The sequence below is a fragment of the Homo sapiens genome, chromosome 10, assembly GCF_000001405.40.
Source record: "Homo sapiens chromosome 10, GRCh38.p14 Primary Assembly".
Classification (NCBI taxonomy): Eukaryota; Metazoa; Chordata; class Mammalia; order Primates; family Hominidae; genus Homo; species Homo sapiens.
This window is the reverse complement of record NC_000010.11, coordinates 94,106,306-94,126,016: the sequence shown is the minus strand read 5'-3', so window position 1 is coordinate 94,126,016 and position 19,711 is coordinate 94,106,306. Positions and strand designations below refer to the sequence as shown.

The 19,711-nt window shown below is 42.2% G+C and overlaps 1 protein-coding gene and 2 long non-coding RNA genes across 36 annotated transcripts in view; 1 reads left to right on the top strand and 2 right to left on the bottom strand.

Annotated features, from left to right (window-relative positions):
• The window catches only part of PLCE1 (phospholipase C epsilon 1), a 338,893-nt gene that overhangs the window by 206,807 nt on the left and 112,375 nt on the right, over window positions 1-19,711 (bottom strand). The gene's annotated exons all lie outside the window — the stretch shown is intronic.
• Window positions 586-19,038, bottom strand: LOC107984255 (uncharacterized). 2 transcript variants are annotated; one of them, XR_007062252.1, is made up of 3 exons: window positions 11,808-15,711; window positions 8,786-9,066; window positions 586-5,300 (listed from the first exon to the last, which is right to left on the bottom strand). It is a non-coding gene; the product is annotated as an uncharacterized LOC107984255 (long non-coding RNA). The 2 variants fall into 2 exon arrangements; XR_001747554.3 differs by lacking the exon at window positions 586-5,300 and adding an exon at window positions 16,847-19,038 and having other exon boundaries at window positions 7,839-9,066; window positions 11,808-15,307.
• PLCE1-AS2 (PLCE1 antisense RNA 2) overlaps window positions 17,223-19,711 on the top strand; it is a 26,845-nt gene continuing 24,356 nt past the window's right edge. Inside the window, exons 1-2 of one of the 2 annotated variants that reach the window (NR_120616.1) lie at window positions 17,223-17,299; window positions 18,147-18,285. This is a non-coding gene — a long non-coding RNA (PLCE1 antisense RNA 2). Of the gene's footprint in view, window positions 17,660-18,146; window positions 18,286-19,711 lie in introns of both variants that reach the window. The other variant, NR_120615.1, reaches the window with a different exon arrangement.

Genomic DNA, 19,711 nt, shown 5'->3' with positions numbered 1-19,711 from the left:
CAAGCATACTGAGGCTGAAAAGAGCTGGGGTAATTCAGATGGAGACAAAGGCAAAGACTTGCATGCACTAAAAGGCATGAAGCAACCAGACACACCACATCCACAGCACTCACCCAGAAGGAAAGCTCCTTGGAATAGCCAGAGCTTTTTCTTGACTTGACTTCTACTAAAGTCAAAAAGGGTATTGTCAAGTGGGGTCAATTTTGTACTTGCTCTGTTTCAGAAGCTATCTTTTTGAGATCACTTATGAAAAATTATGAGGTTCTAAGATCTGATGGCATATCTTCTGAAATCTTTCAACAGGAAGAAAGTGTGTTACTTAGAGGTCCATTGACTCAATAATAATAATAATTGCATCATTTGTTGAATGCTTAAAATGAACCAGGCCCTGAGTAGTGAGATGTGATTTCAATTAAACCGCAGAACAGCTCTATGAAGAGGTTCTACTATTATCAGCATTTAAAAATAAGGCGCTAGGTGTCTGTAGTCCCAGCTACTCCGGAGGCTGAGGCAGGAGAATGGCATGAACCCAGGAGGCGGAGCTTGCAGCAAGCCAAGATCGCGCCACTGCACTCCAGCCTGGGGAACAAAGCGAGACTCTGTCTCAAAAAAAAAAAATAAGGCGCTAATGTGCACACAGCTAGGACTTAACATCAAGACTCTCCATGTCTAAGCTAGTGCTGTTAACTACCAAACCAAACAGAAAATCCTATTACAGATGTCAGAGGAAGCACTTTCAACAGAGGGGTAATTGTAGTCACAATCCCTCCATCACTTTTTGTTTGTTTGTTGTTTGTTGTCTGTTCCTTCCATTAGAATGTCAGCTTCATGAGATTTTCTTTTTTTCACTGCTGTATCTGCAGTGTCTAGAACAGTGTTTGGCATTATAAGTTCTCAATGAACAGTTCTTGATTGAATAAGTGAATTTCTCAATTCTATGTCTTCACCAAAAACTTGGCTAGAATCCTCTGGTTTTTTGGCCCTGACTACATTGGATTCATCTGAACCACAGGCGACATTCTACTGTCACCTGTATTTGCTGAAAACTAGATATATAAATCATATGAAATGGCATAAAATCTTTACAAAGTATTCAGAATAGCTGTAGCCAAATGTGGATTTAATTGCTAGTAACCAAACTTGGCCATTTCTGATAAATCCACCAACAGTTTAACAACATTTCATTATCATTTGCTGATGGGCTTAGAGTCAAAGGACTTAATCTGATCTATTCTCTCTACTAATTTTTCATGAAATTGATCATTTGAAAGGATCATGGGGTTTAAAAGAAACCAAGATACGGATTAATGTATTGACTCTGCTAAATCAATTTAAATAAACAAATATTGAGTTGCAGTTACATCGACTATGGTAGATGCTGGAGAACAATGATTTTAAAAAGAAAAAAGACTCTGCCCTGGAGAGACCCACAGTCTGTACTGTGTAATTGTGTGATACTGGGCAAATAACTGAAACCCTCTTCCTCATAACCTACTCTTTGCCCCAGTTTTCTTATCTTTATCACGAAGAGGCTGGCCAGTTATTATCTCCAAGGTCCCTTTTAGTGTTACTGTTCTATAATCCATACTTCCTTGCTTTCTTTTTCTTTCTTTCTTTCTTTTTTTTTTTTTTTTTCTCTGAGACAAGGTCTCACTCTGTTGCCCAGGCTGGAGTGCAGTGGCACAATCATAGCTCACTGCAGCCTTGACCTCTTGGGCTCAAGTGATCTTCCCACCTCAGCCTCCTGAGTGGCTGGGACTACAGGCACCACCACTATGCTGGGCTAATTTTATATTATTTGTAGAGATGTGGTCTTGCTATGTTGCCCACACTGGTCTCAAACTCCTGAGCTCAAGCAAGCCTCCCGCCTCAGCGTCCCAGCGTGCTGGGATTTTACCCTATATCATACCCAGCCCCTTCTTCAGTGGCAGATGGAGGGTATAATTAAACTTAATTTTGATGATTATTTTGATGATCATTATTCTCTAATACATTAGCTTCTCCTGTTCCCTCTCTCTTATTACTATTCTCCTTCAGTATCAGCTGCCATTTCGCATTAGTGACTATATATGTGCTTCTAATAGCACCCTTATCCTCCCCATAATGTGGTTCTTAAAGTGCCCTGAGCTAGAAAAACAATGACATTTATTTTAACGGTGTCACCTGTGAGTTAATAGGTGGTAACAACGCAGGGGCCTCTCACAGCATGAAGTGTAAGAGCTCTGCGCTATGGTTTGGAAACCCCTTTACTAGTCTCATGAGCCTCTTTTCTAACTTTGGAATCTACAAGCAGTGTTCTAAAAGGTTGAAGATACTAGAAGTTTCATGTCTGATGGGTGTCTGTGTGTAAACAAAATGCAATGATATAAGAACTGTCGAATTTCCTGAAGAGTCAACAAAAACAGTGAGGCTGTTGGAGGGGGTAGTTGCAGCAGCTTGGAGACTTAAATGGCAGGGATGGGGAGGAGAATTTTGGTAGCAGGCTGCTGTTTGCTCTGCTCATGATTCCACATTCCATTCAAATGCCTGTGCAGAGAATTCCATTCTACTGAGAGTATTCAGACCATGCACGAGCAAGACACTGACCAAACAGAACTCCGGAAAGACAAACATAAAGACTTTGCTAAAACCAGGCGAATTAACCAGAACTGTGCCAGAGGCTTCTATGGGAAGTAAGCTGAACCTTTATCACTTCAGGGGAACATCTCAGAAGAAGTTAGAGGATGCCCCAGGACATTTGAAAACTTGGGAATTTCGCAGCTGCAAATGCCCTTCCATACAACTTCTTCCAATCCACATCCCTTTTATTAAAATTTTACCTCCTCCATGTGGCCTTCCCTGGGTTCCGGCAAGAAATAATCATGTTCTTTTTGGTGATCCAATGACACCTTAAGCAAAGCTCTAGTAGCACTTTCTGTGAAGTACAGAAATCACTGTTTACTCTCCTACTATTTCCCCACTGGAACAGGGACCAAGCTTTAATAAACATTTTGTCCCCAGCACAGGGCACTGCTTAGCATGCTGCAAGCAATGGAGAAAGGGCACAGTGGAGAAATAATTGAAGACTTAGAGCTATGGTCCTCAAAGTGTGGTCCCCAGACCAGCATCATCCTCCTCACCCAGGAGTTTGTTGGAACTGCAAATTCTTGGGCTCCATCGCAGGCCTACTGAATCAAAAACTCTGGGCTGGGACCCAATAATCTGTGTTTTAGCAAGCCCTTCAGGTGATTTTGATTCCTGCTAGAGTTTGAAAACCTGTATCCTAGACTTTAAGGAGAACATGTTACCTTTCATCTCTGACTGTACCATCCATCTGACAAGCACTTACGTCCCTATCATCTCCCTTCTAGAATGGAAGCTACTGAGGGCACAGTCTAGGGCCTATTCATCTCTATACGCCTCAAGGCCCCTAGTTCAGAATCCAGTACAGGGCAAAACTCAACAAATGCTAGCTGGATGAAGGAGCATCTCTGCAGACATTCCCCATGGCTGTAAATGGAACAGGCCTTTCTGTAAGTGATGCTTCCAGCTTAATATTTCCAAAGATGAATCACGTCTGAGATACTAATTCTAATGGTAATTACCATATGGATGAATCATATCATAATGAGAAAACCTGGCTGCCAAGGGAGCCTCTCGAAAAGAAAAAATCAAATCAGGACAAATGGATTATGTTTTTAGGATTGTGATGTCAGGCCATGAATTAGGCCTACAGAAGGGACTTAATGGCCTGAACTACCAGGCTCCTTGCAGCTCTAAGGAGCAATGGGTCAATTAATGAATTACATGGGGACAAATTCCCTGCAAGACAAAACCAAATTTTCACAAATCCCGTAGACTGTGATCCCTGGCTCAGAGGATCAAGGGTAATGTTCTCGCTAAGCTGTGCATGTGTGAAGCTGAAAGGGACAGAAAGTTCCTGACATCCTGTGGCTCCAGGCTTCTGTGTGTCCCCAACAGGTGGAGGGGACCAATGCCAACCTATAAGACCAGGCTTTTTGCTTCCTGTGCCCCAAACCTTCATTGGCTGAACTCCTGCTCATCTTTTCCTGGTTTCTAACCTTCCTCTCTCTGCCCAGCTGGAAATGTCCAGTGTGGCCTCTATCTTCATGGCTCCCAGGGCCTTGGTCATTGCTTCTGGACCAGCACTGCATTTCCCTTCTCTTAACCTCCTGTCTGCCTAAAGATGGCCTGAGGCTGAGGCTGACCTCCTAGAATATATTGCTCTGACAACCAGAAATGGGATAGCAGAGATGGGACAGCAGAGATGCCATCTCTAATGAGATGCCTTAGGGTAGAGTGGAAAGAGTATGGTCTTTGCGTCACACTGATCATGTCGTACTTAGTGCCACCATCCAGTAGCATGGGGGAAGTAACTAGTGTTTCTTTAATGGAGATATAACAGAGTTGTTATAAATAAGCATTCAAAGGGATAAGACATCTGTGAGTTCTGTTTCTAGTTTCACCAGCCCTGAATACCCAAATGGTCATAATAGCATAAATACCTGAATCTTTAGAGCTCCAAGACCATGCCTGCTGGCCTGAGGACCTCAGGTAACTTCCTACCCCCAAAAGCCATCACCATCTGCCTTCATCCCTCCTAGCTATTTGGTAGCATTCTGAAGGTGATGGAGCCCCTCCTATGCTCAGGGATAGTTTGCTTCTGTTCTTCCACTCAGCTCCCCTTGTTGAAGTACCTGGACTGGGCTCTGTGGCTGGCCAACCTCTGCCCTCCTGGGCTGAGACTGGAGGTGGAGAGAACAACCCTCTCCTAGTCTCCTGCATGTGAACTTATGTGTAGACATCTAAGTGTTTTCTGGTGCACAGCTCCATAAACAGCTCAACTCTGGATTCCATTCTGGGCTAGTGCCCACTATGCTATAATAAATGCAAAGCCTCAGCACAGCACTTGGCATGTATGTGGCATTTAATAAAAGGGAGGTTATCAATCCTCTTGGTCAATATCAGAGTTACAGTGCAGATCCTCTCTCTCATCCCAGGTTTATTCCTTTCACTCACTTCTCTGCTCTCTTCTGTCTCTCTAGGTTGCTCCAGCAGCTTTCTTCAACTTCCTCTTAGTCCCCATGGTTTCTTCATTATTAAGATTTCTTAGCCCTCACCACTTGCATGTTCCCCATGTTGCTTTCTTTTGAATCTCATCCTGTTGTTCCTTGCTCTGTCCTGATCTTCCTACCTTCCCCATCACCCCTCTCTCTCTTCCCTTTATTCACAATGTCCATCTTTCTCCTGCATCCTTCATTTCTTTCCACTGCCTTTTGATCTTGATCCTTTGAGCATCACTTCCAGGGGCAAAGGGAGGGGATGAGAATGAGGACAGAGTGTGAATTAGTAGGGTCTGCAAGCAGAGATCCTCCTCTAATTATTAGCAGACAGTTATTTATCCTTATTAAATGCACTGTATTTCTTCTACTGGAAAACTGCAGTGATTTAATTCTTAAAGGTTTCTCTTCCAATGGGACCCAAGTGAATGACCACCAGAGAGGAGCTAGGGACATTCCTCTCCAAATCCCCCAAGGATCACGAACTCAGTAGTTGAGCTAACATGGACTTACTCTCAGAGACAGGACCCAACATAAGTTGGCTTCTGGTCCTGATTAATTGAGCAGCTGCAGAGCCTCATGCCTGCCAATAAGACTGAAAGCTGTTTAAGACAACCAGTACAGACCTTCAAGTTTCATCCAAGGGTAGAGCCATATTCAACAACCTGTTAGTGAACACACCTCAGGCAGAGCAAATGAAATAGGTAGTGGTGGGTGAATAGAGATCACCAGATTCCCAGGAGCTAGAGCTGTCACCAAGTTTAGGCAGGGCAGGAGGACATGGAGCCTGGAAGAGGAATTGTTGAGTCTCCCAGACAGGATGGAGGAGTTGAGTAAGGGTAGAGAATAGTAGGAAAGCCCAGCCTAGTGGGGAAAATCCTGGGCCCTACACCCAGAGAAAGGCAGGCCCTGGGAGGTCCTAAGCAATAGCTAGGACCCACGCTGGGGTGCCTATCCAGAGGAATCCTCTGAGAAGCTTGGACTGACATTCAATGCAGACACAAAGTAGCCGCACTTTAATTTCTGAAAGATAAGCCGTCTATGCCTAAGAATATATTCCTTGTTTGGACTTTGTTCATTCATTCATTCAGACAACAAATATTTACTGAATGTCTATTTTGTGCAAAATAGTTTGCCAGTAGCTAGAGATAAAATAATGAGTAAAAGAGCTTCTTGTCCTTAAGAAAGTTACTGAGCATCAGGGAAGGTAAGCAAGATAATGGGCAATTGTATTACAGCATAAAATTCTACATTGGTGTGGGCATACAGTGTTTCAGATACACAGAGGAGGGTCTTAGGAGGCCATGGAAGGTTCTTCTAGGAGGTAACATCTAAGACACAACCTAAAGACAGTAAGAGTTAGCTAGGGCAAGGTTGAGGAAGGGTAAGAAAGGGGGAAATGTTCTAAGCAAAGGGAACAGTGTATGCAAAATAGTTTTCCTATGGGTGAAGCTAAGAGATTGAGCAGTGAGTTTGGGGAGATAAACAGGAACCTTTTGAGTCCTTATAAGTGGATGCAATTCTAGGCCAGAACCATTTCTGTTCATAAACATTTCCTAAGCAAACTACCTATGCAAGCTATATGGACATGCATACAGCTGGAGGGTTATATCTCATATGCCTGAGGACATCCATTGCCTTCCAGAGGTATTTTTTTAAGTATTGAAGATATAACCTCAAACAAGACACAGCCTCTTCTCTTAAGGCACCAATGGAATAGAGATGATGACTTCTAAGATTTCCTATAGCTTGGTGGTTTCCTTTTATTAATAAAAACCAATGAGAAAGGACAAAGTACACATTACCTACCAGCCTGGAACAGGAGAGAGACGATATACTTCATTTGTACTCACAAGGTAAGTAACAACTTTCAGAAGCATCCCACAGGGTGGGCGAGGACTTAGGACTTTTCCTGTCTAGTTGGAGGTATAGATCTTAAAAGAGATGGAACATCTTATAGGAAATGTCACCTTTCTCTCCACTTTTGTAAGATAGCAGTGGAAAGGTAAGCCTTCAAGGAGGTTCCAAAATATTGGGGAACTACAAAAAAATGGACGGGTCGTGGCATTAAAACTGCACTCAAGTTCATGAGGATGAGTCAGGGACTTTCAATCTATCCCCAGATAGACTACCTCTGTCCTGTTACAGAGACTCTCAGCTATGTGTGTGTAGAAGAGCATACGTATTAGTCCGTTTTCACGGTGCTGATAAAGACATACCCAAGATTGGGCAATTTGCGAAAGAAAGAGGTTTATTGGACTTATAGTTCCACATGACTGGGGAGGCCTCACAATCATGGTGGAAGGCAAGGAGGAGCAAGTCACATCTTATATGGATGGCAGCGGCAAAGAGAGAGCTTGTGCAGAGAAACTCCCATTTTTAAAACCATCAGATCTTATGAGACCCATTCACTATCATGAGAACAGCACAAGAAAAAGACCTGCCCCCATGATTCAATCATCCCCCACTGGGTCCCTCCCACAACACATGGGAATTATGGGAGCTATAAGGTGAGATTTGGGTGGGGACACAGAGCCAAACTGTATCAGCCTATGTTCAGGGCTAGGATTATCCTGAGAGGTTGAGTGTTGAACACAATATATTTGACCTTCAGAGGGCTCAGGAGTATGGGAAAGTTATCACCTTTCAGCTTACCTGGGCCTACCCTATAGTCAGATAAGAAAGATATGGTCACCCTGAGCTGCATGTCAAAGAACTCCATGGAAATCATTAAAAAAGAAAAGAGAAAAAAAATGCTAAAGTTAATGAAAATTTTAAAACTTATAAAAACTTAGGTTAAAAACTTAAGTTTAAAAAAATTGTAACTTCTTTTAAAGTTAACAAAACTTTTTTTAAAAAACCTTCCAATTTACATTCCAAAAATATGGTTTTAGCACTTACATTTTGTAATTTAAAAAGCTTGCTCTCATGTCTCTACTGAGCTTAAGGTTTTTCTTGGCTATCAAAACAAAGAGGTCTTTTGTTGAAACAATCAGGCGACAGTGTTTTGGTGAAAAGATTATATACAGAATAATGGTATGAAGCTCTATTGTATAAAAAGTAGACTTAAGAGCTTTCCCTGTCTCCAGATACCCTGGGCTTCTTGCAATAATTTGAAATAATGTTGTCCTTCACTTTGTGGGAGCTCTAAACAATTGGGTGCATTCATTATTTTCTAAGAGCTCATAAAGGACACAATGCAGGTGTGACTACACATAATTAAAGGCAGTGTCAACAGCAGTGTATATACTAACTACAGCCTAACCAACCCACTGGGATCAACTGCTTATGGGTGTTCCAAGGATTTTCTCTCTTTTATACCCACCATGATCTAGTGATTCATGGTATATTGTATTGTATACAGGTGGAACTCCTGAAATATTCCTTGAACTGATGTTAGCTGGTCTTTGGCATCTGCATATAATGGACATTACCAGTAATGTCAAAGACGGCACAAATGAAGTCAGTGCAACGAGTGTTTGGCATGAATCTGTGGGCTGGGTAGGCTATAGGGAAGGGAAGGGTCACTGAGTCTCACTCCCAGCAGAGCTGGTAGGAGTCAAAGAAGACAGTCAATGTGATGCTGAGCTGGAAGAAAAGGACTTGCTGGGGCCACATCTCTGTTTAAATCACTTCTGTAGCTACTTTGGATGGGGTTCCTTTTCAGGAGCAAATGCACATTCAGCTGGAGGGTTCTGTCACTCATGGCCCAAAAGTCGGGTCACCTTTTATTCACTGGGAAGCTCATTCCTCACACTCTTCTCAAGATCTTCTGGTCTCACCACAAGAGTCCCAACCTTGCTGAGCCATTCACTTGATGAGAGTGAAGGAGAGAGGATGGGAGCTCTATATGTTGTGCTCATGATTGGAGGAGAAAGTCCACATCCAGGGATGACCATATCAGATGACTCAACCTTGCTTATCTGTTATCCAGTAGAGACCATGATACACTATAAGACAGGAGGCAGAGGTCCTGGGAGTGGACAGGGAACAGCTGAAAAACAGACTGTGGGAAGTCAGAGATGCAGGGATAATAGCAGAAACTCTTTGTCTTTTCTTTTATTGCACTCTCTCCAAATTGCTCCTTTCCAATTCTTCAACATGAGGCCAGGGAGAAGCAAATGCACTTCTTTTAGAAGGTGAAGGGCATGGCCATTACTGGCTGGGTAAATTTGGGGTTTCATCAGTTCATCCAACAGGTTTCATCATCAGCTTTTTTATGTTTTACCCTGCAAATATTCTTAAAAAAAATTTTTTTTTTTGAGACAGAGTCTCACTCTTTCGCCCAGACTGGAGTGCAGTGGTGCGATTTTAGCTTATTGCAACTTCTGCCTCCCAGGTTCAAGCAATTCTCCTGCCTCAGCCTCCTGAGTAGCTGGGACTACAGGCACCTGCCACCACGCCCAGCTAGTTTTTGTATTTTTAGTAGAGATGGGGTTTCACCATGTTGGCCAAGCTGGTCTTGAACTCCTAATCTCAGGTGATCTGCCTGCCTCAGCCTCCCAAAGTGTTGGGATTACAGGCATGAGCCACCATGCCCTGCCATTCCTAAAAATTCTTAAGGCAGACTTGGCAACCTTTTCCTACCAATGCCATGGATCCTTTTCCCATTTCCAAAATCAGTCAGAGGTCACACACAGAATGTTAAACATCATTATTATATTCAGACACAAGACACAGAAAACAAGAAAAGCCAAGTTCTATAGATATAGCAAATAAAAGGATAAATGAGATCTAAATTGTGAGTAGTTAAGAAACTCAGGGGTATTTGTGGCAGGGGAGGAAGGTGATGACGACAGAATCACCGAAAGACAGAAAGATAGAATTTTGAAGAAAAGGATGGAGAGAGGAAGGAGCAGGAGGAAGGATCAGGGACAGCATGTCAGAGATGAGCAAGCCCTGGAGATGCCCGCTGTTCTCCCCAGTGTCTGTCATCAGAACAGTTATCGCCTGCATCATGGCCCTATAAAGTGCTTGCTGATTAATCAGTGACTCATCCCTGTTGCATTGAGTGTCTCTTGCATGACCAAGGATGGCTGGAAGGCAGGCAGGTAAGAGGGAAAGTTAACACGAGGCAGGAAACAATAAGTGAGAAGAGAGAGGTTCAGGCAGCTGGTGCTCCAGGAGTCAAGAGGAAGCCACAGTCACTGGGAACAGGCTGACTTCAATGGGGAATGAATGGCTACTGGCGCCTAGAATTGTGCAAGAACCAGCAAAAGAAACTACCATCAGAGTGAACAGGCAACCTGTAGAATGGGAGAAAATTTTTACAATCTACTCATCTGACAAAGGGCTAATATCCAGAACTTACAATGAACACAAACAAATTTACAAGAAAAAAACAACCTCATCAACAAGTGGGCGAAGGATATGAACAGACACTTCTCAGAAGAAGACATTTATGCAGCCAACAGACACATGAAAAAATGCTGATCATCACTGGCCATCAGAGAAATGCAAATCAAAACCACAATGAGATACAATCTCACACCAGTTAGAATGGCCATCATTAAAAAGTCAGGAAACAACAGGTGCTGGAGAGGATGTGGAGAAATAGGAACACTTTTAACTGTTGGTGGGACTGTAAACTGGTTCAACCATTGTGGAAGACAGTGTGGCAATTCCTCAGGGATCTAGAACTAGAAATACCATTTGACCCAGCCATCCCATTACTGGGTATATACCCAAAGGATTATAAATCATGCTGCTATAAAGACACATGCACACGTATGTTTATTGCCGCACTATTCACAATAGCAAAGACCTGGAACCAACCCAAATGTCCAACAATGATAGACTGGATTAAGAAAATGTGGCATATATACACCATGGAATACTATGCAGCCATAAAAAATGATGAGTTCATGTCCTTTGTAGGGACATGGATGAAGCTGGAAACCATCATTCTGAACAAACTATCTCAAGGACAAAAAACCAAACATCGCATGTTCTCACTTATAGGTGGGAATTGAACAATGAGAACACTTGGACACAGGAAGGGGGACATCACACACCGGGGCCTGTTGTGGGATGGGGGAAGGGGGGAGGGATAGCATTAGGAGATACACCTAATGTAAATGATGAGTTAATGGGTGCAGCACACCAACATGGCACATGTATACATATGTAACAAATCTGCACGTTGTGCACATGTGTGCACATGTACCCTAGAACTTAAAGTATTAAAAAAAAAAAAGAACTGTGCAAGAACAACAACAAAAAAAAACATAGGGCATAAGAGGATTAACCTATCATGAGGTCTAGGGCACAACAAAATAAGAAAAGAACAGCTATACTGTGAACTCTCGATTATTTGGGGGTAATGTGGAGATTATAATAGTAGGAAATGCTACCTACATGGGAGGTGCTATGAGGCTTGGTATAAAAATCCAAGCATAAAAGGAAGTTAGAACAGAGCAGATCTTGGAAAAATCTTCATGAATGAACTGAGCCCTGAGAGCACAAAGCAAACGTGGAAAGGTCAAGGGGAATGTATTCGTGTGGATGAAAAGTTGCTGGCTCTGAAGTGCAGCATTTGGCTTAGAGATCAGACTGTTAGCCTGAGATCCTGGGTGGACACAGTCTCCAATGTCCCTCCCTCCTCCTCTGCCCCTGCACAATTACTGTCTATACTCATCTGTCTCACTGAGAAGGAAAAGAAAAGCTGGGGAGCCCAATTTGCTCCACTTTGGGGGAAGTGAGGAGGTCAGGGGACAATAGACTTTTCCTTCCCCTCTAGAGGTTTACCTTCTAGTCCAGGTTTGATGCCAAATGTTCTGAGCATTCTGGGCTAGTCACCTTCGGCTGCGACTTTGCAACCATTCAAAGAATGTAAGGTTCTAAGGCAGGTCCTATGGAGGCTTTTCAATTTCCCTAGGTCATTGTGACTTCTCTTTTAGTAATTTCTCCCCAGAGCCCAGGTCATAGTAAGACCCAGGGAACAGACCCAGAGAGACACTCATTGAGACATGCATGTATCTGTGCATTTAGAAAACTGAACTTGGCCTTCTTAAGCCTTGTTTTGATTCAATTATCTTCAACGATGCCCATCTGCTGCATTTTGTTTCCTTAGCATGGTCAAGGGAGTTCCTCAGTAACCCCTCACTGTCCACCCTTCTACCCCCTCCTCCATTATTACCCTAGTTGAACACATTGTGACAGCTATCCATCCCCTCAACAAGCCCAAGCTTCCCTGCCCACTGCCACTCCCATTCCCGCATCGTCACATTGCTATTAGAATACTTCCACTCTTTAAGGCAGTCTTAATGTCACTGCTTAACTAGCTATATGACCTTAGGGCAGTTACTTCTCTGTGCTTCCATTTCAAAATAGTAAAATGGAGATAACTGTGTGATAATTGAATGAATGAATACATACAAAGAGCACTTAGCATAGTGCCTGGCATACAGTACATTCTATGAAGGTTCTTGTCTTTTTCTCACCTACGGCTCCCAGCCCATCCACCCTCTGAACACTCAGGTGCTATTTGGAATACAGGTGGTAACTAAACATCTCCAACCAGGATTTACTTTATTTTGCCCTCAGTTATTGTCCCCATTTTATTGTCTATTAGTTTTGAAAGGAATGGGTGTATAGTACTGAGTTTCTTCTCTGCTGTTCCTAATTTACTTATTCAGTGTGAAGTCCTCATGCCAAAAGGAACCCTTGGCTTTTTTTTTTTTTTTAACAGCAGCTTTATTGAGATATAATTCACATTCCATACAATTCATTCATTTAAAGTACACAAGTCAATAGTTTTTAATATAGTTACACCACAATCAATTTTAGGTCCTTTTTTCACCTCCAAGTTAAGTCTCATACCCATTTAAAGTCACTCCCTACTTTCCCATCCTCACTAGCCCTAAGCAACCACCACTAATCTACCTTCCATCGCTACAGATTTGCCTGTTTGGGACATTTCATATAATCCCTGGCTTCTTTAAGAGGCATAATTCTTCTTTAACTCAGCATTCATCTGTTTCATCAAAGTCCCCAGCCCTAGGACCAGGCACATAGTAGGTACCCAATAAATGTTCTGTTGAATGAAAACCAAAGCAGGGGGTTGATCGAGTTAAATATATTTTTTTCACATTTCATCTTTAGACCTTATTGGTCCAAAGCAAGATAGAGAAGTAGGTGAGGAACAAAGGCATTGTGTTTTTCTAAGGTATACAAAAGCTCCATTGAGACTCCTTAAAATGAAATTCTAGTGCAGTGGTTCTCAAACTGGCTGCACCTTAGAGTCACGTGGGGAACAAAAAAATACTGAGGCCTGAGCCCTGCCCCACTGCATACCATATCCAATGTACTGATTTATCTGTGTGGAGCCATGGATTATATCTTTTAAAGTTTCCCCAGTGATTCTATGAGCAGCCAGGGTTCGTTGGGAACTCTTGTTCCAATGGAAACAATCATTCAAAGCAAGAATAATTTGTTGAATTCCAGCCATGCCCAGCATGATACACAGCCAAAGTTTTCAACTCTGTCTTCAGGGAAATGAACCTCAAAATTTTTAAGAAAGCAATAAAAAACAGAATATTCATTTCACAAAAATTTTCTTTATAGCCAACATTACTATTACACTGAGCCATATAAAATTGCTGATATTTGACTGTTTTTGACCTAGAAAAATCAAAATTTCATATCATTCAACCTAATTGAATGCATTTGTTTCATGAAATGAGATACATTTAATATTCAATCTGAATCACTATCTTGTTAATCACCCATTCACCTTCCTTGTGCTTCATGCATTTTTAAAAAAGAATATTTTAAATTTTATTAAATATGTATCTCTAATACAGGATGGAAAATAAATTAGCCATCAAAGGGGGACAAAAATCATGGAAATTCACAACAGATAAAACAAACAGAAACTTTATAGATGACCTCTACATTTTGCCACACATTATTTCTGGAAAGCACGTCATAAAGTAGATTGTCATAAAGCAAGATGTATTTTCCCATAGGAAAAATTTCATGATTAGGGATTCTGTTCCTGTCTAGGCCTCACATAAATCAAAGATACGATCAACAACAGGTCATGAAAGCAAAACTGCGACAGCCATAAACCTTTATAAACCTTCGGCGGCACTACAAACATTTAAAATAATAAACTTATTATTCAAGCACTATAAAATGCCAAAATAATATCCAATCCATTGATCATTATACTGGCATTTAGAAAGGCAACTGAGTACTACCCATCGAAATTCAAAAAGTGTACATTCTTTGATCCACTTCTAGAGATCTTTCCTATAGGAAAACTGGTTTGGCTTCTTTCCTTCTTCCAGAACCAAGTGTAAATGCCTCAGTCTAGACCCACGGCCCTTCACAGTAAGTATCACTACTGAGTGGGCAGTGCCTTGCAGGGGCTCTCTAGCCACCCACTCTTCCAACTCCTTATCCAAGTCCCCATTCCTTCCACCAGCAAGCTGAGGGCTGCCCTAGGCTCTGAGGACAATCCTGTTCCCTGTCAGGAGGAATTTAAGGAGCTTTAGTTCTCTGGTGCAGGCTCCACAATGTCTAGTCAACTGCATTTCTGCTTTCATTCCCATCTCAGGCTGGGAATTTGGCTTCCACCTCCTTTTGTGACCAAAACTGCTGGTGTCTCAGTCCTAGTGAGCCTCGTTGCTTGCCAGGCCCTTTCTTCACTCCACCTCTGCCCGCAAGGGGCTGAATTCCTCCCACTGAATCCCACCCTGCAGCTGGAAGGAACCCTGCTTCCTATTGCCACATTTTTCTGATGCCAAACACCTTTCTGGAAAATAAATGTCTCATGAGTGAGTGAACGAATTTCTAGATTTCTACATACTCCATTGCTGTGTACAACTGAATACCCACTGCCACCTCTTGCTGAGTCTCCCAGGGAGTGGGTATTTGGGATGTATCAGTGCATGATTCTAGAACAGCAGTTCTCAACCAGACGTTATTTTATCACGACCACCCACACCAGGGACATTTGGCAATGTGTGGAGACATTTTTGTTTGTCACAACTGAGGGCATGCTACAGGCATCTTGTGCGTTGAGGCCAATGATGCTGCTAAACATTGTCCAGTGCACAGGGCTGCTCCCACAACTAGCTGAGGTTGAGAAACACTGTTCTAGAGAAATCAAAAGCACTTTCTGCAGCACTACAAACCAAATCAAGCTGAAAATTACCAACAGAGAAGGATGATGCTTCTGTTTTCAGTAAAACACCCTTTTCCCATTCCAATTTTCAAAATTCTTGCTTATTACAGAAAAACTGGAAAATAAAGAAAAGCAAAAGATCACCTGTGATACCACTACCACTGTGTAGTTTTCCATAGTTGTGATGTCATATTACACAACATTTATAATCTGCTTTTCTACATAATGTATTAACCAAGTTTTTCTCCATATTACTATAAAGTTCTTTAGACCTCACTTTCAATTCTATGTGAGATTCCTCCTCATGATTTCACAACAGTGTAAGTAACCATTCTCTTATTACTATTAATTTGTTTCTGGGTTTTCACTATTGTAAAGCTGTTGTGATACACATATTTGTGCATAAAACTTTTTCTGCACATGAGGTTATTTCCTTGACAACCCTTAGAAAAGGTCTATCCTTGGCCAGGCACGGTGGCTCACAGCTGTAATCCCAGCACTTTGGGAGGCCGAGGCAGGCGGATCACGAGGTCAGGAGATCGAGACCATCCTGGCTAACACGGTGAAACCTCGTCTCTACTAAAAATACAAAAAATTAGCTGGGCGTGGTGGCAGGTGCCTGTAGTCCCAGCTAGTCGGGAGGCTGAGGCAGGAGAATGGCATGAACCCAGGAGGTGGACCTTGCAGTGAGCAGAGATCGCACCACTGCACTCCAGCCTGGGTGACAGAGCGAGACTCCATCTCAAAAAAAAAAAAAAAAAAAAAAGAAAAAAGAAAAAAAGGAAAGGGTCTATCCTCCTGATATCAATTTGAAAGGCAAACGTGATTTGCCAAAGGATTCTAACATCAAAGCCCATGTGAAATGTTCCTCTGAACCCCATCTCTGCACTGGTCTAAAAACATACAACAAATCTGCAACTTCAAGAGTCTTTGTCTGAGGAACATCAAAGGAGCCAGGAAAAAAAAAAAAAACATCCCAGAGCTTTCTGAATAGAGAACATTGCAGTGGATCATGAGAACAAGAATAAAAGTTCTTGTGATTTTTGGCACAGAGAGACAAAACTGCTATGTCTTTAATATGGTAGAATTTGCTGGTTGCAGAGGCAAAATATTTTATGTAGAATACCTTTCTTATAAGCCTAATGCCATTTTCCATTTATTAAGGAAGTTTAGCTTTATTGTATTTAATTTTATTTTTTGGCCATATTTTCTCCTTTGAGACAGAGTCTCGCTCTGTCACCCAGGCTGGAGTACAGTGGCACAATCTTGGCTCACTGCAACCTCTGCCTCCCAGGTTCAAGCGATTCTCCTGCCTCAGCCTCCCAAGTAGCTGGAACTATAGGAACGTGCCACCATGCATGGCGAATTTTTGTATTTTTAGTAAAGATGAAGTTTCACTATGTTGGCCAGGCTGGTCTCGAACTCCTAACCTCAAGTGGGTCACATTTTCTTTTTATCTCAGGTATTTATTTAGATTTTGGGGAATGCAATAAATTTGATAAACATCTTAACAGCTATTTATTGAGATAAGTCCAGAACATTTTGAAACAAAAATAGGTCAAAAATAATATTTTTTTCATTAACATCTAGATAGTATTCTTATGTTTTAGCAGCTGACTACAGTATAACTGCAAAGCAGAAGTTAAACTCTTACCTTCATCCTGCTCCCAGATTCACAGGGAAACCTACAAGTCTGTATAAATCAAAGCAAAGGCCAATATATCTAGATACAAAAACTCAAAAGATGGCAGGAAATGGTAAAAAGAAGTTGGGAATCAGAGGACCTGGGTTTCTGCTTGTCTATATCAACTAGCAAGCCTGCACCTTAGGACAAGTCATTGATATTTCTACATTTCAATTGCAGAAAAGGAAGTCTATCAAATATGAAACGACATATGTGAAGTGCTCTTAAGAGACAAAGTTCTTTTTTAAATGCAGTAACATACAAAGAGGGCTGTTACTGGGTATCACTGTGTATGATGTATTGTGCTTTGTGATGTCACTGCAGGTATAATCAAGGACAGAAAATCAGTATTGATGGGGCAAGCCATGGGACTGGAAGGCAGCAGGCAGATGTCAGGGTTGGGGATTACTGGCTCAGAAGCAGGTATCATAGCAGAAGCCCAAGTCTCTTCCAAGTCACAGGGCTAGGAACCAAGATATCAGCAGGGGAAGCAGGGGGTGGAGGGGGTATAAAAATGACCCAACTACAACCACCAATACTACCATTTACTGAGGCTTCGCCATGCAGCAGGCACCCTGAAAAGTGTTTTGTTTGCATTATCTTAGTCAGTCCTCCTAGCAGCCTGATTAGTAGAAGTTGTTACAGAAACACAGATGAAACCATGGGTTAGAAAGAGGTTGAGTGCTAGAGAATCTTATGGCTGCAAAATGAGTAAGCAGAGACTTCAACCACTGTCTTCTGACTCACAGCCCAAGGGAAAGACCAGGCAAGAGTAGGGGTGAAGTAAGTAGCTCGGTGACAGCACAGAACCTGTGAGCCAGGGCTCAGGCTGAGGCTCCTGGCCTCCCTGACTCTTCCTTCAAAGGCACACAGTAGGCAAGGCACTTGGGGCACTGGCTGCAGGGGAGCTCCCACCTTGCTTGTGATAGGGTGGAATGGGGTTGGGAGGCCTTACCAATGGACTGGGATGTTCTTTCAGAAACAGGAGCAGTTCTTGCTGCTGCACTTGCCTTCTCTCACCTCACCAAGTCCTCACCTCACTGAGGTCAGGGCTGAGCTACAAGGCTGTCAGACTCTAGCTTGTGCTATGGAATTGAGAGAAGCAATGGTGGAGCCTTGGTCCATGAGTAAAATTTCCTCCCGTTGGTTAGATCCACAGTCCATCCAGCCCACGGCTTGTCTGGAATAGTGGAGTCAAACAACTAATGCAATCGTTTGTAGACTTTAAAAAAAATAAATAAATAACAACTTTTTTTTGTCCCTCACAAAGGAAATCTCATGTAGAAGCCCAGAACTTTCAAGAGATAAGAAGTAGAGAGATTCTGGTTTAAAGAGAGATGACAGAAGCCCTGAATGTCCTCTCTTCTGCTCCCCCAGATACCTTCATGGACTACAGGGCTGTACATACGGTTAGACTCCTTGACCTCAATGTGAATGTCTAAAGACTCCAAGCATCCTAACTCCAATTAGAAATCCAGCAGCAATGTATTACCATGCAGTTGTCTAAAACCTTAAAAAAAAAAGCTATTTAAATTGTCCATCTTTTCACACTTTTGGTTACAGAGTCCACTGTTTACTAGCCCCATTTGGAAGTACTACTTACTACCTTTCTCTTGTCCTAAACTCACTCTGCTGTAACTTCATGGGGTATCTTTGTAGTTTTACACTAGAACTATTTATGACTTCAGAAACTTTGCTCACATCCTCCTCCTGTCTTCCAGACAGACCATTCCTAATCTGTTTAGTCTGTTCTCACTGGGGGATTAAATGCAATAATGTATGTAAAGCACCAAGCAAGGGGGGTGGCATGAAGGAGGAGTTCAGCAACGTCTTGCCTTTATCTTCCTTTTTCTCATCTCCGTCATCATTTAAAAGGCTCTTCTCCAGTTTTGCTTTCCTTTGTAACTCTTTGTTCCTTTCTTAATCACACTCACTGCTGTGCCCTAAATAACGGATACCAAATGGGGTCATCTTTAACAACACAGCCAAATACTGAGGCTACAAACATCAACCCAATTGGCACCACATAAAGCGTCGCCACTGCCAGCAACAGTCAGAACTCACTCTTCTCTAGGTAGCCTCCGAGACTCCTTGATGTGAATATTGTATCAAAGAAACTACTATGGTTTTATATAACCAAGGAAGCAGAGGGGAGAGGGGAAGGAGAAAAGGGTGTTGGGGGGGGGAGGGGAGGGGGAGAGAGAGAGAGAGAGAGAGAGAGAGAGAGAAACAAGAGACAACACGAGCACCAGTCAGTTAACAAGGAGGATTTGATATTATGGGGCAGCAGGGGAAGAAAAAATACATTCACTGTGCAAAAAGAGAGGCATAGAGGCATGACAAGCAGAGAATATGAGCTCCCAGAGAGGAGAGGACTGGAACGGTTAAGAAGGAAGCATTCAATTCCCAAATTTGTGTGCAGAGGAAAAGGGAATCATGGCAAACTGCAAGACACTATTTGTGGGAGGATAAATTGGCAAACTGCAAGACACTATTTGTGGGAGGACAGCATTTTGGGGGCCATTTATCAGTATCTATCACAGTTTTAAGTGTGTATACCCCAAGACTCAGCAATCACATTTTTTAGGAATCTGAATTACAGAAATATTTAGCATTACACACATAGATATATAAAGATGCTCACTCCAGCATTGTTCCTAAGGGAAAAATCTTGGGAATAACTGAAGTGTTCATCAACAGGGACTGAAAAAATAAATTATGGTGTGTATCCATACAAGAGTATACTAGGCAACAATGAAAAATAATGTGGCTGTGATATATGTAAGAGATATGTGTAGGAATATTTATGGAAATATCTCAAAAATATAGTAAATT